This window comes from Homo sapiens, chromosome 8 (assembly GCF_000001405.40).
Source record: "Homo sapiens chromosome 8, GRCh38.p14 Primary Assembly".
In the NCBI taxonomy this organism is placed as follows: Eukaryota; Metazoa; Chordata; class Mammalia; order Primates; family Hominidae; genus Homo; species Homo sapiens.
This window is the reverse complement of record NC_000008.11, coordinates 39,613,830-39,631,220: the sequence shown is the minus strand read 5'-3', so window position 1 is coordinate 39,631,220 and position 17,391 is coordinate 39,613,830. Positions and strand designations below refer to the sequence as shown.

The following is a 17,391-nucleotide window of genomic DNA, read 5'->3' as shown; positions in this document are numbered from 1 at the left end:
TTAAATTAACTGTGGTTCAGAATGCATGTCTATCAAAAGACATCATTAAATGAGTTTAAAATTAAGCCACAGACTACGAGAAAATAGCCTTAATACAGCTATCTGAAAAAGTCCTCATATTTGGAATATATAAGGAATCCCCACAAAATAGTAAGGAAACTATTAAAATGGGTAAAAACTTATACATTTACTCTTCAAAAAATCCAAATAGTAAACAATGGTATGAAAATATGCTCAAACTCAATCATGTGTTAAATGCACCTAAAAACCACCATATGATATCACTATATATCCACTAAAATGGCTAAGATTTTTAAAAGTTTATCAATTGTAATTGTTTGTAATGATACAGAATTCCTGGACCTTTCATACAATGCTGATAGAATACGAAATTACTATAATAACTTTTCAACTGTTTACCAATATTGTCCAAAGGTAACATACCAATCCCATGATATAACAATTTCACTCCTAGGCAGATACCAAAAGAAATTATGTCTACCAAAAGACATGAGCAAGATTGGTGATAACAATTTTATTCATAATAGCACCAAATTGTGGTATTCTTCACGTTAGTATACAAGAAATAAACTACTGTTATGGGCAACAATGTGAATAAATCTTAAAGACATTATATTAACAAAATAACCTAGATGCTATAGAATGTATAATCTACAATTTACACTTTTGGATCTACCTGATTGTATTATATTTATCTGCTAAATGCTAGTCATTCATCTAAAAATCTATTCTATGAAGACTTTCCTTAACAATTCCTACATCTTTCTCAATTCTATCCTGTTACTTTGTGAGTATATATATAGATATATAAGTATATATATAACTTATATACACACATACATAATGTACGTAGTGCCTCATAATTATTTGGTTGCATATCTGTCTTTTCCATTAAAATATGAATTCTTGAAAGTAGAATTTCCAGTGATTAGTCTGTGTTTTGCATTTAGTAAATATATAATAGTACTAATTTTAAAAATAAATATACATTTAAAACCAGAAGTGTATTTATTCAAAAACTATGCTGAAACATATTTTAAGAATAATAAACAAAAAATATAAACACTACTATTATTGAAGTGAAATTTTTGTTAGCAATAAAGGTTTTAAAATGACATTAAGGCAACAAACTGAATTAGTTGAAAACTTTGCAAAAGAGAAAATATCAAGTGAATATGCTTTATAAGATGGTAAAAATATGCATTCAATAAAACAATGTGACCAGAAAGGATGGAGCAGATTAAGAGAAAGGATGGCCCATTAGGAGTTAAAGTCAAAGAGATACTGACTGAGCTGGAGTGGAGGAAGCGATAGTGTAGGGCATTCTAGGCTAGTTTGGGCTGTTACTCATAATTGGTTGTAAAAGGTCACAAATGTTGATTTATCTAACACCCCTAAAATAAAATATCTTTTATTTTAAAATATTAAGAAAATTGTATTATGTCTTTAAAATTAAAACAAAACTTTCACTAAGTTATAAAAAGAAAGAAAGAGTGAAAGAAAGAGGAAGGAAGGAAGCAAGGAAAGAAGGGAGGGAGGGAGGAAAACAAAGGGAGTGAGTGAAGGAGGGGTAGAGGAAGGAAAGGGAAGACAGAGGGGAGGGGAGGAAAAGAGAGGAGAGGGAGAAAATAAGGAGACAATGGAGGAAGGGAAAGAAGGAGGAAGAGAGAAAAGGAAGAAGACAGGAATGCAAGAAGGAAAGTTCTTTCTTGAAAGCATACTTAGTTCCTTCTTGAAAGACCTCTTGAAAGCATACTTACCAAAGCTTTTTCCACTATAATGTATATTTCCAGATATTGGGGTAATAGTTTTGAAAGATTTTTTATCTGGAAAACAACAACAACGGGATTTATAAAATGTTAACATGTATTGAATTTAAGAGAAAAAGATGACATGTAAAGACAGCGAAAAATTGCATATAAGATTTTCATGAGGACTTAAGTATAAAAATTAATTCTGATGTAGAAAATTTTACTTCAAAACATATTCCAAGCTTAAAATATTTACAATGAACCTGCCAGAGTAATGTAAGGGTCTAGTCTCTGTTAATGCTGAATGAGAAAAAAAAAACATAAACATAAAAATACACCTTATGCTGTCTTCATCTGCAGACAACTCTACACTTTGAACATTTTTCACTGACTGTCTTATGAAGGACTATAGCAACACTAACTGTGGCATACTGAAAATTGTCCATTCATAAAGATATAGGAAATATTTGAGAACTCATAGTCTCCACTGAAATTCAGGTAAATATTGTGATTTGTCTATTAATAATTGATGATTTATAGGTTATTATGTTAGCACAATCAATAATTATTGCTTTATATCAAATGACACACAAAGCCTATGCTCTGGACCTATTGAATTATTTCTGATATTTTACATTCTGTTCTTCCCTGTGTACTCATATGATTATCACCTATAAATCATCAATTATTACATCCTCATTTAACACTTTATTGATAATTTTACATGAGCTTTATTTCTAACAAGCTGAAGTGCCTTCTCACATATAGAAACTTCAGAGAAATTTCTTCTTTGATCTAAGCATATTTACAGGCCACAAAATACAAGAGTAAAGAGGGTGTTGAATCTGCAATAGAATAGTCTGAGTTAAAATAAGTAAACAAGCAAACAAATAACCCAAACTTACTGGATAGAGTCTCTGTTTAAATAGGTTGGTTTATATTTCCATGGGAAAGTAAAGTATGCCTCATCTCATATATCTATTGTTGTTTATCTATCTATCTATCTATCTATCTATCTATCTATCTATCTATTGATCTATCAGTCTATCAATTCATCATCTAAATCTATCAGTCTATCATCTATCAAGACATACATGTTTATTTATCTATCCATCTATATATCCTCTCTTTGTGTATACATGTATACTGCAATTTTGTAAAAAAGGGGACTCTCATTTTTTTTCAATATTCTAAAATATGTGAGTTTGGTCTTTTAAACTTTCATTATTGGTGTGTTTTTTGTGATCATACTATTGCATGACCATACAACTTATTGCTCAAACTGAAATAATGTTGAGTGAGAAAAGGGGGCACTAAAATAATCAAAATTATATAATTATTAAAATTGATATTTAATGACTAAAAAGTTTAACTTTCTCAGCAGAAACCTTGCAAACAAGAAGTGTTGACATTCATCTTTAGTCTCTTTATAAAGAATAACTCTGCCAAGAATTTCATAGCCAGCAAAACTAAGTTTTATAAATGAAGGATAAGTAAAGTCTTTTTCAGACAACCAAATGCTAAGGGAATTTGTTACTACTAGATCAGCCCTAGAAGAAATGCTAAAAGGAGTTGTACATCTTAAAACAAAATGTCAATATACACCAGAATAGGACCTCTTGAAAGCATACAATGCATAGGACCTATAAAACAGTAACACAATGAAGAATACAAAGTATCTTTGTGACAATCAGCATGACTGGAACAGTATCTCACATCTCAATATTAATGTTGAATATAAATGGTCTAAATACACCACTTAGAAGACACAGATTTGCAGAATGGATAAAAAAAAATCACAAACCAAACATCTGCTGTCTTCTAGAGACTCACCTAACATGTAAAGATTCTTATAGATTCAAGGCAAAGGGGTGGAAAAGACATTCCAGACAAATAGAAACTAAAGGCAAGCAGGAGGTGCTATTCTTAGATAAAATAGACTTTTAAGCAAAAACAGTTTTAAAAGACAAAAGGATGTTGATATGGTTTGACTGTGTCCCCACCTAAATATGGTAATAATCCCCATCTGTCAAAGGTGGGGTCAGGTGGAGATAATTGAATCATGGGGGCAGTTTCCCCCATACTGTTCTCATTGAAGTGAATAAATCTCATGAGATCTTCTGCGGGAGTTCCCTTGCCCAAGCTCTCTTGCCTGCTGACATGTAAGATGTCCCTTTGCTCTTCCTTCATCTTCTGCCATGATTGTGAGGTCTCCCCAGCCATGTGGAGCTGTGAATCCATTAAACCTTTTTACTTTACAAATTACCCAGTCTCGGGTATGTCTTTATCAGCAGTGTGAGAACAAAAGGATCAATCCAACAAGAAGATATTATAATCCTAAATATATATGCATATATATATAATCTAACTTTGGTGCTCCCACATTCATAAAACAATGACTACTAGTCCTATGAAAAGAGATAGACAGCAACACAATAATAGTGGATGACTTCAACGCTCCCCTGACAGCACTAGACAGATTTCAAGGCAGAAAGTCAACAAAGAAACATAGGACTTAAACCATACTCTAGAACAAATGGACCTAACACATATTTACAAACTATTCTACCCAAGAACTATATTCTTCTCATCAACACATAGAACATTCTCCAAGACAGATAATATGATAGGCCACAAAATAAGTCTCAATAAATTTTTTAAAAATCAAAATTATATCAAGTATCTTCTCAGACACAGTGGAGTAAAACTAAAAATCAACTCCAAAAGGAACCCTCAAAACTATAGAAATACAAGAATTTTAAACAATCTGATCCTGAATGATTTTGGGGTTAACAATAAACTCAAGATGAAAATTTAAAAATTCTTCAAAATGAATGATAATAGTAATACAAATTATCAAAACCTCTGGGATACAGCAAATGCAGCGCTGAGAGGAAAGTTTATAGCACCAAATGCCTACATCAAAAAGACTGAAAGACCACAAATTGACAATTTAAATCTCAACCTCAACGAACTAGAGAAATAAGAACAAACCAAACCCAAAGCAAGCAGAAGGAAAGAAACAACAAAGATCGGAGCAGGTTTAAATGAAATTGAAACAAAAATATTAAAATGATCAATGAAATGAAAACTTGGTTCTTTGAAAAGATTAACAAAACTAATAGACCATTAGTTCCATTAGCCAAGAAGAGACAAGATTAAAAGAAGTTTTAGAAATAAAAATGAAAATATTACACCTGACATCACAGAAATATAAAAGATCATCCAAGACTACTATGAACACTTCTATGCACACAAACTAGAAAATCTGGAAGAAATGGATAAATTCCTGGAAACACACAACCCTACTAGCTTGAATCAAGATGAAATAGAAATCCTGACTAGACCAATATCCATCAGTGAGATTGAGTCACTAATTTTAAAAAACTGCCAAAGAAAACCCAAGGCCACAGGAATTCACAACCAAATTCTACCAGATATTCAAACAACAATTGATACCAATGCTGCTGAAACTATTGCAAAGTATTGAGAGCACAGACGCAAAAATCCTCAGCAAAATACTAGCAAATAGAATCCAATAACACATCAAAAAGATAATTCACCCATGATCAGAAGGTTTCACCTCAGGGATGCAGGAGGGATGGATCACTATATGCATATCCATAAATGTGATTCACCACATAAAAAATTGAAAATAATAATCTCTACAGATGCTGAAAAAAGCAATAAAATCCAGCATCTCTTTATAATAAAAAAATTCAACAAACTAGGCACAGAAGGAACATACCTGAAAATAATAAAAGCTATATATGACAAACCCACAGAGAGCATCATACTGAATGGGTAAAAAGCTGAAAGCATTCCCCAAGAACTGGAAAAAGACAAAGAAGGATACTTTCACTACTTCTATTCAACATAGTGCTGGAAGTCCTAGCCACAGCAATCAGGCAAAAGACATAAATAAAGGAAATCCAAATTGGAAAATAGAAAGTCAAGCTAACTCTGTCTACCAATGTTATAATCATATACCTAAAAAACCCTAAAAGGCTCCTCTAGAAGACTCCTACATTTGACCAGTGAATTATGTAAAGTCTCAGGTTACAAAATCAATGTACACAAATTAGTAGCATGGCTATACACCAACAATGACCAAGCTGAGAATCAAATCGAGATCTCAATCCCTGTTACAACAGCTGCAAAAATAAAATAAAATAATTAAGAATATACCTACCCAAGGAGGTGAAAGCTCTTTACAAGAAAAACTACAGAACACTAAATCCTAGATAGCAGAAAAAACTGGAAATTCATCCCATGCTCATGGATGGAAGAATCAACATTGTGAAAATTACCATACTGCCGAAAGCAATCTACATATTCAAGCAATTCCTATCAAAATACCAAGATCAGTTTTCACAGAATTAGAAAAAAGTAATCCTAAAATTCACATGGAACCAAAGAAGAGCCTGAATAGCCAAAGCAATTTTATTAGTCCATTCTTGCACTGCTATAAAAGAATACCTGAGACTGGATGATTTATAAAGAAGAGATTTAATTGGCTTACGGTTCCACAGGCTGTACAGGAAGCATGACAGCTTCTGGGAAACCTCAGAAAACTTTCAATCATGGTGGAAGGCAAAGGAAAAGCAGGCATGTCTTACATGGACGGAGCAGGAGAAAGAGAGAGCAGGGGAGGTGCTACACACTTTTAAACAACCAGATCTCCTGAGAACTCTACCACGAGAACAGCACTAGGAGGATGGTGTTAAGCCATGAGAAACCACCTCCGTGATCTAATCACCTTCCACGAGGCCCCACCTCCAACACTGAGGATTACAATTTCACATGAGATTTGGGAGGATACAGAAACATATCAGCATTCTTAAGCAAAATAACATATCTGGAGACGCTACATGACCTGACTTCAAACCACACTACAAACTTTACTAACCAAAATAGCATTGTACTGGTATAAAAGTAGATACATAGACCAATGGAATATACTAGAGAACCCAGAAATAAAGCCAAATACCACCAACTGATCTTCAGCAAAGCACACAAAAACATAAATTGGGGGAAGGACCCTCTATTCAATGAATGACGCTGGGAATACTGGATAGCCACATGTGGAAGAAGGAAACTGCATCCCTATCTCTCTCACCATATACAAAAATCAACTCAAGATGGATCAAAGACTTAAATTTAACACCTGAAACCATAAAAATTCTAGAAGAAAGCTTAGGAAAAACTCTTCTGGACATTGCCCTAGGCAAAGAAATTATGACTAAGACCCCAAAAGCAAATGCAACAAAGATAAATAAATGGGACATCATTAAACTAAAAAGCTTCTGCACAGAAAAAGAAGTAATCATCAGAACAAACAGACAACCTAAAGAAGGGGAGAAAATATTTGTAAACCATGCATCTGACAAAGGACTAATATCCAAAATATACAAGGAACTCAAACAAATCAGCAAGATAAAAACAAATAATCCCACCATAAAGTAGGCAAATTACACAAATAGGCCTTTCTCAAAAGAAGATATACAAATGGCCAACAAACATGAAAAATGCTAAACATCACTAATCAACACGGAAATGCAAATTAAAACTATAATGATAATCCCAGCACTTTGGGAGGCCAAGGCAGGTGGATCACGAGGTCAGGAGATCAACACCATCCTGGCTAACACTGTGAAACCGCTTCTCTACTAAAAATACAAAAAATTAGCCGGGCATGGTGGCAGGTGTCTGTAGTCCCAGCTACTCGGGAGGCTGAGGGAAGGGAGTGGCGTGAACCCGGGAGGCGAAGCTTGCAGTGAGCCGAGATCACCCCACTGCACTCCAGCCTGGGCGACAGAGCGAGACTCCGTCTCAAAACAAAAACAAAAACAAAAACAAAAAAACAAACAAAAAATTATAATGAGATACCACTTTATCCCAGCCAGAATGGTCATTATTAAAAAACTAAAAAAAAAAAAAATGTGTGCATGTGGTGAAAAGGGAACTTATTTCAAGCTCAGGAGTATATGTACATACTGCCGGTGGGAATCTAAATTAGTACAACTACTATGGAAAAGCAGTATGGGGATTTCTCAAAGAAGTAAAAGTAGATCTACCAAACCCACTGTTGATTATCCCCCAAAAAAGAAATTATTATATCAAAAAGAATTCTGCACACATATGTTTACTCCAGCACAATTCATTATTTCAAAGATATGGAACCAACCTAAGTGAACATCAATCAGTGAGTGGATAATGTATACACCATGGAATGCTACTCAGCCATAAAAAAGAATGAAATAATGTCTTTTGCAGCAACTTGAATGGAGGAGGCCATTATTCTAAGTGAAGTAACTCAGGAATGGAAAAACAGATACTATATGTTCTCACTTTTAAGTGGTATGCAAAGACATACAGAGTGGTATCATGGAAATTGGAGATTCAGAAATGGGGAAGGTGAGAGGGGGAGTGAGGGATTAAAAGCCACATATTGGGTACAATGAACACTACTCAAGTGATGGGTGGAGTAAATCTCAGACATCACCACTATACAATTCATCCATGTAACTGTCCCCTCATACCAAAAAGCAACTGAAACGAAAAAATATATATATAAATATATACAGACTGGTAACCTGGAAAACTAGAAAGTCTTAGAGGTTTACAAACATCAGTGTGTGTTGTGTATGACTCCTCTAAATCTTTTATCTCTGTGCCTTCTATTAAGTTATGTAACTTATTATAACCTCAGTTACGTATCTGTAAAATATGACAAGCATGATGTAAATAGCATTAAATAAGACATGAAATGAAAAATTAATAAGTTTGATTGTATTATTTTGATATAACTAAAACTACTTACAAGTTATTGACAAAACTAGATGTTTTTCTAAACAAATATAACAGCACACAAGACAAATTCTCAATGATTAAAAATTGCATAAGTAAAATAATTGCTCTTGATAGATTCTCATGTGCTTTATTTTCTTAGGTGTCTCTCCTTCTAATGCTATATTTCTGATATTTTAGAGCAATATATTTTTCAATATCATCTTAATATTTTCATTACATTGCCTATGATTTTTTCAAAATTGCATTTTATGGTTAACACATTTAAAATTGTGAACATTTTCAATGGAATCTTTCTAGAGGCCATTATATATATGTATTATGTATATTATATATGTAAAATTATGTATATAATATACATAATATATTACATATAATTTTACTTATGCTGTTTTTAATCAATGAGAATATAATTTTGCCTTGTGTGCTGATGTACTTGTTTTTAGAAAAACAACCAGTTTTGTCAATAACTTTTAAGTAGAAGTAGTTAAAAATAAAAGTTGGAAATTAAATATATATGTATATATACACTTTTTAAAAATCTCCTACTTTTATTTTAAGTTCAGGGGTACATGTACAGGACATGCAGGTCTGTTACATAGGTAAACATGTGCCATGGTGGTTTGCTGCTCAGATCATCCCATCACCCAAGTATTAAGGCCAGCATCCATTAGCTTTTCTTCCTGATCCTCTTCCTCTTCTCATCCTCCACCCTCTGACAGAACCCAGTGTGTGTTGTTTCCCCACATGTGTCCATGTGTTCTCATCATTTAGCTCCCACTTATAAAAGAACATTCAGTGTTTGGTTTTCTGTTCCTGCTTTAGTTTGATGAGGATAACAGCTTCCAGCTCCATCCATATCCCTGCAATTACATGATCTCATTCTTTTGTATGGCTGCATAGTATTCCATGGTGTATATGTACCATATTTTCTTTATCCAGTGTATTACTGATGGGCATTTAGGTTGATTCCATGTCATTACTATTGTGACTTTATATTCTTGTTAGTCTCAAAACAAAAATAAATATCTTTAGTATCTGAGCATTTAAATAAATTAAAATAATATTCACAATATTATTGGATGTTACCTGCAATAAAATTAACTTCCAAAATTATTATTATATTAATAGATTATTTTTATTTTCCATATTTTATACTTAAAAATAAAAAAAAATTGAAACACTAGAAAATGCCAAAGATCAGGGAACTCATGTGTCATTCATCCAGTTTTCCCCAGTGGTCATAAACTTATCAAAACCAGGACATTGACATGGGTACAGTGTGTGTGTGTGTGTGTGTGTGTGTGTGTGTGTGTGTGTGTGTGTGTGATTTTGTCATGCATGTGTTCATGTCACATTTAAAAAACTCAGCTGCTCTATTAAGTATGTAATAGTATCTGATGATGTTCTTAATTTGCATTTTTCTAATGGGTAGTGATGATGTAAATATTTTAATGTATTTTTATTTTGTTTCATTTTGTTTTTGCCATGTCTATGTCCTTTTCAGTGAAATGCCTCTTAATGTTTTGGCTATTCTTTAATTGTATTTTTTAAATGTTGGCTTTTGAGTTATTTATATAGTCTAGATATCAGTCCATTATCACATTTTCCAGGTCTGTAGCTTGTCTTTTTGGCATATAAATGTACATAATTTTGTTCTATGCATAGATTGTGTAGTGGTGAACTCAGAGCTTTTAGGGTATCCATCACCCAAATAATGTATATTGTATCCATTAAATATTCTCTCACTATCTACCCCTCTCACCTCCTCACCCATCCAAATCTCTATTGTCTATCATTCCACACTCTACATCTCTGTGTGCACAGTATTTATATCCCATTTATAAGTAACTACATCCAGTGTTTATCTTTCTGTGTCTGACTTGTCTCATTTAAGATAAAGGCCTCCAGTTAATCAGTTCATCTATGCTGTTGCTGCTGATAGGATTTCATTTCTTTTTTAATATATAGTTATATTTTTATATATAACAATATATAAATATATGTTATATATATTTTAATATATAAATTGTTATATAATATATATATTATATATTACATATATAATATATAAATTATTATATTTTTAATATAACAGTTGGCTACTTGTATGTGTTCTTTTGAGAAAGTATGTTTACCTGTTCAAATATCTTGCCCATTTGCAAGCAAAAGCTTTTTAGTTTGTTGTAGTGTTTTTGTTTGGTTGGTTGGTTGTTGGTTTTTTTTTACATTTTTTCTTTGTTTTGTTTTGTGATTTTTTTTTGTTTTTTTTTTTTTTTTTGCTTTTGTTGCATGTGCTTTTGAGGTCCTGTCTAAAAAAATCTTTGCTCAGACCTATGTCATATAGTGTTTCGTTTAGGCTTTTCATCTAATAATTTCATGGTCTGGGGTTTTAAGCTTAAATCTTTAATACATTTTGATCTTTTTGTATAAGTTCAGAGATAGGAATTTACTTTCACTCTTTTGTGTGTGAATATTCAGTTTTCCCAGCACCATATATTGAAGAGACTGTCCTTTCTCTGTTGTGAGTTCTTGGCAACATTGTCAAAAAATAAAAAATAAAAAAGGATGGCTGTAAATGCATAGTTCTGTTTCTGGGCTCCCTATATTATTTCATTGGTCTATGTGTCTGTTTTAATGCCAATACCATGCTGTTTCAGTTACTATAGCTTTATAGTATATTTTCCTCTTTTTGCTCAAGATTGCTTTAGATATTTGGGGTGTTCTCTTGTTGCATATACATTTTAGGATTGACTTTTTTCTATTTCTGTAAAGACTGGTATTAGAATTTTGACAGAAATTGCATTGAATCTGTAAGTCTCTTTAAGTAATATGAACATTTTAACAATATTAATTATTCCAATTCATGAACATTAAATATCTTTCCATTTACTGTGTCTATTTCAATTTCTTTCATCCATGTTTTATAGTTTTCATGTGGAGATCTTCAATCTCCTTATAAAAACTTACTAATAGTTATTTCATTTTTGTAGGTATTATAAATGGGATTGTTTTCTTGAATTCTTTATCAGATAGGTTATTATTGGCATATAGAAATGATACTGTTTTTTTATGTGGAGCATGTTGCTTTTAATTTCCATGTATTTGTACAGTTTCCAATGTTTCTCTTATAATTGATTTCTAGTTTTATCCCATTATAGTTAGAAAAACTATTCAATACAATTTCAATTTTTAAAAACTTTGTTAAGACTTGTTTTGTGTCACAGAATATGACTTATCCTGGAGAATGCTCCATAAGCAGTTGAAAAACATGTGAATTCTGAAGTTGTTGGATCAGATCTCCTGTAAATGTCCATTCGGTCGCTTTTATCTTGAGTAGAGTTAAAACGTGGTATTTCTTTGTTGATTTTATACCTGCATGTTTCCTCCTATACTGAAAGTGAGGTGTTGAAATCCCCTATTATTGTATATGTGTCTATCTTTTCCTTTAGATCTATTAATGTTTGCTTTATCTATTTAGGTGCTACAATATTGGGTGCAAAGATATTTGTGATTGTTTTATCCTTTTCTTGTATTGACCACTTTGTCATTATATAATGCCCTTGTTGGTCTTTTTTTATACTTTTTTCCTTGGAGAATATTTTTATCTAAGTATAGCTACTCCTAATTTGTAGGGAGACCCCCTGAAACTATTGCTCGATAAAAGATGAAATGCTCCTGATTATTGTAAACACCAAGTTGTATGCAGGATTGTGCAAAGACAATGCCAAGTTGGACTGCCAGAATGAGCCAACAGCGCGTGATGTGCTTCCCCCTGCAGAGAGCCTATGAATGAACGTGCAGTCAGGGAGGTTTCACATCACCAAGATTCCTATCCCAGAAAAGCAGATGTTCATAGCTCTGGGAATGGAATGCGACCCTTGCGGGAGTCTATAAACGGACACATGGGGGGCACCTGTCCATATGGATAAGAAAGGGCTATAAATGCCCTCATCTTGCCACGGCTCTTCTAGGCCTCTTTAGGGTTAAGGCATACTCCCTTCTGAGAATTTCTGGTCTAACCGGTTGTCTAGCTTCACGTCGTGTTTCTATGGATTGTTTGTAACCAGCTTTTGCTGCAACTGTTACTGCTGATTAATATCTTGCTAATCACAGGTTATGGAAAGACTGTGTTTCTGTTTAAGGCTCTGTTAGAAATTACTGATGCACACACTATATTGTAAATTCTTATCTCTGTATACTGTACTTCTGCATACAGATGTTATGTTAAAGAATTAGTTCATCCCCATGTGACCATCTCACCTCACAATCAAATGACCCTAAATCCCTCACTAACCTACCCCCACCCTTACTAAACTTAATAATAAATGCTGGTATATCGAATGCATTGTTGGGCACCACAGGACCAGAAGGCGGTGACCCCCCTGGACCCAGTTTTCACTAGCTTGTGTGTGTCTATTATTTCTCAACCTGCCGATCCACCTGGGAACAAAGAGAGAGCCTCGTTGCATTGCGGGCTGCTGGCCAGATCCCACAATACTAATTTATTTTGGTTTTTATTGTATTAAATATATACTTTTCATCCATTTACTTTCAGTCTATGTGTATACTTACAGATAAAGTGAGTCTTTGGAGGCGTCAAATAGGTCTTGTTTTAGGGTTTCTGGTTTTATTAACTTTATTCATTTCCAATTTTTATTTTAGGTTTGGAGGGATAGAAGTGCTGGTTTGATACATAGGTAAATTGCATGTCACAGGGGTTTAATGTACAGATCAATGTGTCACCCAGGTAATGAGCATTGTACCCAATAGGTCCCCACCCTACACCCACCCTACATTCTCAAGTAGGCCCAGTGTCTATTGTTCCCTTCTTTGTGTCTATGTGTACTCGATGTTTACCTCCCACTTATCAGTGAGAACATGTGGTATTTGAGTTACTATTTCTGCATTACTTTGCTTAGAATAATGGCCTCCAAGTCCATTCATATTGCTACACAGAACATAATTTCAGTATTCTTTATGGCTGTGTAGTATTCCATGGTGCATATGTAACAGATTTTCATTGTGCATTCCATCACTGATGGACATCTAGATTGATACTATGTCTTTGCTACTGTGAATAGTACTATGATAAGTATATGTGTGCATGTGTTTTTATGGTGGAATGATTTTTATTCCTTTGGGTATATACCCAATAATGGAGTTGCTGGGTCGAATGATAGTTCCATGTTCTCTGAGAAATTTCCAATCTGCTTTCCACAGTGCCTGAACTAATTTACATTCTCATCAGCAGTGCACAAGTGTTCCCTTTTCTCCACAGCCTCGTGAGTATCTGTAACTTTTTCTTTTTAGTAATAGCCATTCTAACTGGTGTGGAATGGTATCTCATTGTGGTTATGATTTGTATTTCTCTAATGATTACTGATGATGAGCATTTTTTCATATGCTTGTTGGCTGCATGTATGTTTTCTCTTGAAATGTGCTTGTTCATGTCCTTTGTTCATTTTTAAATAGGATTCTTTTTTTTCTTGTAAATTTTAGATATTAGACATTTGCTGGATTCATACTTTGTGAATGTTTTCTCCCATTCTGTAGGTTGTCTGTTTACTCTGTTGATTGTTTCTTTTGTTGTGCAGAAGCTTTTCAGTTTAATTAGGTCCCAATTGTCAATTTTTGGTTTTGTTACAATTGCTTTTGGTATCTTCATCATAAAATCTTTGCTACGGCCTATGTTCAGAGTGATATTTCTTAGGTTTTATTTTGGAGTTTTTATAGTTTTAGCTTTTACTTTTAAGTCTTTAATACATCTTGATTTGATTTTTGTATATTGTGAAAGGAAGGGGTTCATCTTCAATCTTTTGCATGTGACTAGCCAGTTATCCCAGCACATTTATTGAATAGAAATTATTTTCCCAGTTGTTTGTTATTGTTAATGCTGTTGAAGATAAGATGGTTGTAGATGTGCAGCTTTATTTCTGGGTTCTAACCTGTTCCATTTGGTCTATGTTTCTGTTTTTCTACCAGTACCCTGCTGTTTTGGTTACCTCCTTAAAGTCTAGTTAGAAGTTGGATAATGTGATGATTGCAGCTTTGTTCTTTTAGCTCAGAATTCCTTTGGCTATTCAGGCTCTTTTTTTGGTCCCATATGAATTTTAGAATAGTTTTGTCTAATTGCGTGAAAAACGTTGTTGGTTGTTTGATAGGAATAGCATTGAATCTGTAAATTGTTTTGGGATGCACTGTCATTTTAACAATTTTTTTTCTTTTTGAGAAGGAGTCTTGTTCTGTCACCCAAGCTGGAGTGCAGTAGTGCCATCTCGGCTCACTGCAACCTCAGCTTCCTGGGTTCAAGTGATTCTCCTGCCTCAGCCTTTCCAGTAACTGGGAATACATGGGAATACACGTGCACGCCACCACTCTTGACTAATTTTTTTTTTGTAGAGACAAGGTTTCACCATGTTGGCCAGGCTGGTCTCAAACTCCTGACAACAGATCATCTGCCTGCCTCAGCCTCCCAAAGTGCTGAGATTACAGGCATGAGCCACTGTGGCTGGCCCATTTTAACAATATTGATCCTTCCTTCCTAACCATGGGCATAAAATATTTTCCCCATTTGTTTCTGTCACCTGATTTCTTTCAGCAATGTTTTGTGATTCTCATTATAGAGATCTTTCACCTCTCTGATTATCTATATTCCTAGATATTTTTTTTGTGGCTAATGTGAATGAGATTGTGTTCTTGATTTGCCCCTCAGTTTGGTTGTTATTAGCTTATACAAGTGCTACTTATTTTTTTTACATTGATTTTGTATCCTGAAACTTTGCTGAAGTTGTTTGCTACATCTAAGAGCCTTTGGGCAGAGACTACAGGGTTTTCAAGGTATAAAATCATATCATCCATGAAGAGAGAGAGATTGACCTCTTCTCTTCCTATTTGAATGCCTTTTCTTTCTCTTACGTGATTGCTCTGGTGAGGTCTTCTAGTACTATGTTGAATGGGAGTGGTGAGTGTGGGCATGCTTGTCTTGTTCTGGTTCTTAAGAGGAATGCTTCCAGCTTTTGCCTGTTGAGTATATTTACTGTGGGTTTGTCATAGATGACTCATTATTTTGAAGTATGTTCCTTCAATACCTAGTTTGTTAAGGGTTCTTTACATAACAGGATATTGAATTTTATTGAAAGTCTTTTCTGTATCTGCTGAGATGCTCATGTGGGATTTTGTTAAACAACCTGCTACTGAATGAGATTCTGGTATGTTGTATCTTTGTTTTCATTGGTTTAAAAGAATTTCTTGATTTCTGCCTTAATTTCATCATTTATCCAAAAGTCATTCAGGAGTAAGTTGCTGACTTTTCATGTAATTGTATGGTTTTTAGAGATCTTCTTGGTGTGAACTTCTATCTTTATTGTACTGTGTTCCAAAAAGTGTGGTCCGTATGTTTTTTTTTTTTTAATTTGTTGAGAATTGCATTATGGTCGAGCATGTGGTTGATTTTAGAGTACATGCCATGTGCACATGAGAAAAATGTATATTCTGTTCTTAGGGTGGAGTGTTTTGTAGATGTATGTTAGGTCCATTTGGTCAAATGCTGAGTTTAGGTCCCAGATATTTTTGTTAGTTTTCTGCCTTAATATTTTGTCTAATGCTGTCAGTGGAGTGTTGAAGTCTCCTACTGTTATTGCACAGTTATCTACATCTCTTTGTAGGTCTCCAAGAACTTGCTTTATGAATCTGGGCGTGCCAGTGTTAAGTGAAAATCTGTTTAGGATAGTTAAATCTTCTTGTTGATATGAACCCTTTATCACTATGCAGTGCTCTTTGTCCATTTTTATTGTTGTTGGTTTATAGTTTATTCCATCTGAAATTAGAATAGCAACCCCTGTGTTTTGTGTTTTCAGTTTGCTTGGTAGATTTTTCTCCATCTCTTGCTTTGAATCTATGGGTGTCACTGAATGTGAAATGGGTCCCTTGAAGAAATTATACAGTTGGGTCTTGCTTCTTCATGCAACCTGCCATGCTTTTATGTGGGGTGTTTTTCCCCTTTACATTCAAAGTTAATATTGATATGTGCAGATTTGATCCTGTTATTGTGTTGTTAGCTGGCTGTTAAGAAGATTTGATTGTGTAGTTTCTCTATAGTGTCAACTGTCTATGTACTTAGTGTTCTTTTGTGCCCTGTATGGTCTTTTGTTTCCATGTTTAGCATTCCCTTAAGGGCCTCTTGTAAAGCAGGGTCTGGTGGAACAAATTCTCTCTGCATTTGCTTGTCTGAAAAGGATTTTATTTCTTCTTTGCTTATGAAGTTTAGTTTGGATGGATATTTAATTCTTGGTTGAAATTTATTTTCTTTAAGAATGCTGAATATAGGCTCTCAATCTCTTCTGGCTCACAGGGTTTTGCTGAGAAATCTACTCTTCACCTAATGGGGTGTTCTTTGTAGGTGGCCTGTCCCTTGTCTCTATTTGCAATATTTTTTCTTTCACATTGAGTTTGGAGAATCTGATGACTATGTGTCTTGGGATGGTTGTCTCGTATAGCATTTTCCTGGGGTTCTCTGAATTTCCTAAATTTGGATGATAACCTTTCTAGTAAAGTTTGGAAATATTTTGTGAAAAATATCCTCAAATATGTTTTCCAAGTTGCTTGCTCTCTCTCTTTCACTCCATTTCAGGGATGACAATGATAGGTTCGTTCTCTTTACATAATCCCATATTTCTCAGAGGTTTTATTCATTCTTTTGCATTTTTTCTTTATTTTTGTCTGACTGAATTGATTTGACAAAACAGTTTTTGAGCTCTGAAATTATTTCTTTAGTTTTGTCTATTCTGTTGTTAATACTTCTGATTGT

At 33.9% G+C, this 17,391-nt stretch overlaps 1 protein-coding gene across 3 annotated transcripts in view; it reads right to left on the bottom strand.

Annotated features, from left to right (window-relative positions):
• Positions 1–17,391, bottom strand: part of ADAM18 (ADAM metallopeptidase domain 18) — a 145,498-nt gene that overhangs the window by 98,845 nt on the left and 29,262 nt on the right. For all 3 annotated transcript variants that reach the window (NR_135201.2, NM_014237.3, NM_001320313.2), the window contains one exon: positions 1,782–1,847. Coding sequence is in view for 2 of the 3 variants with exons in the window: in NM_014237.3 (NP_055052.1) it covers positions 1,782–1,847 (66 nt within the window). In the remaining variant the exon portion in view is untranslated. The remainder of the gene's footprint in view (positions 1–1,781; positions 1,848–17,391) is intronic.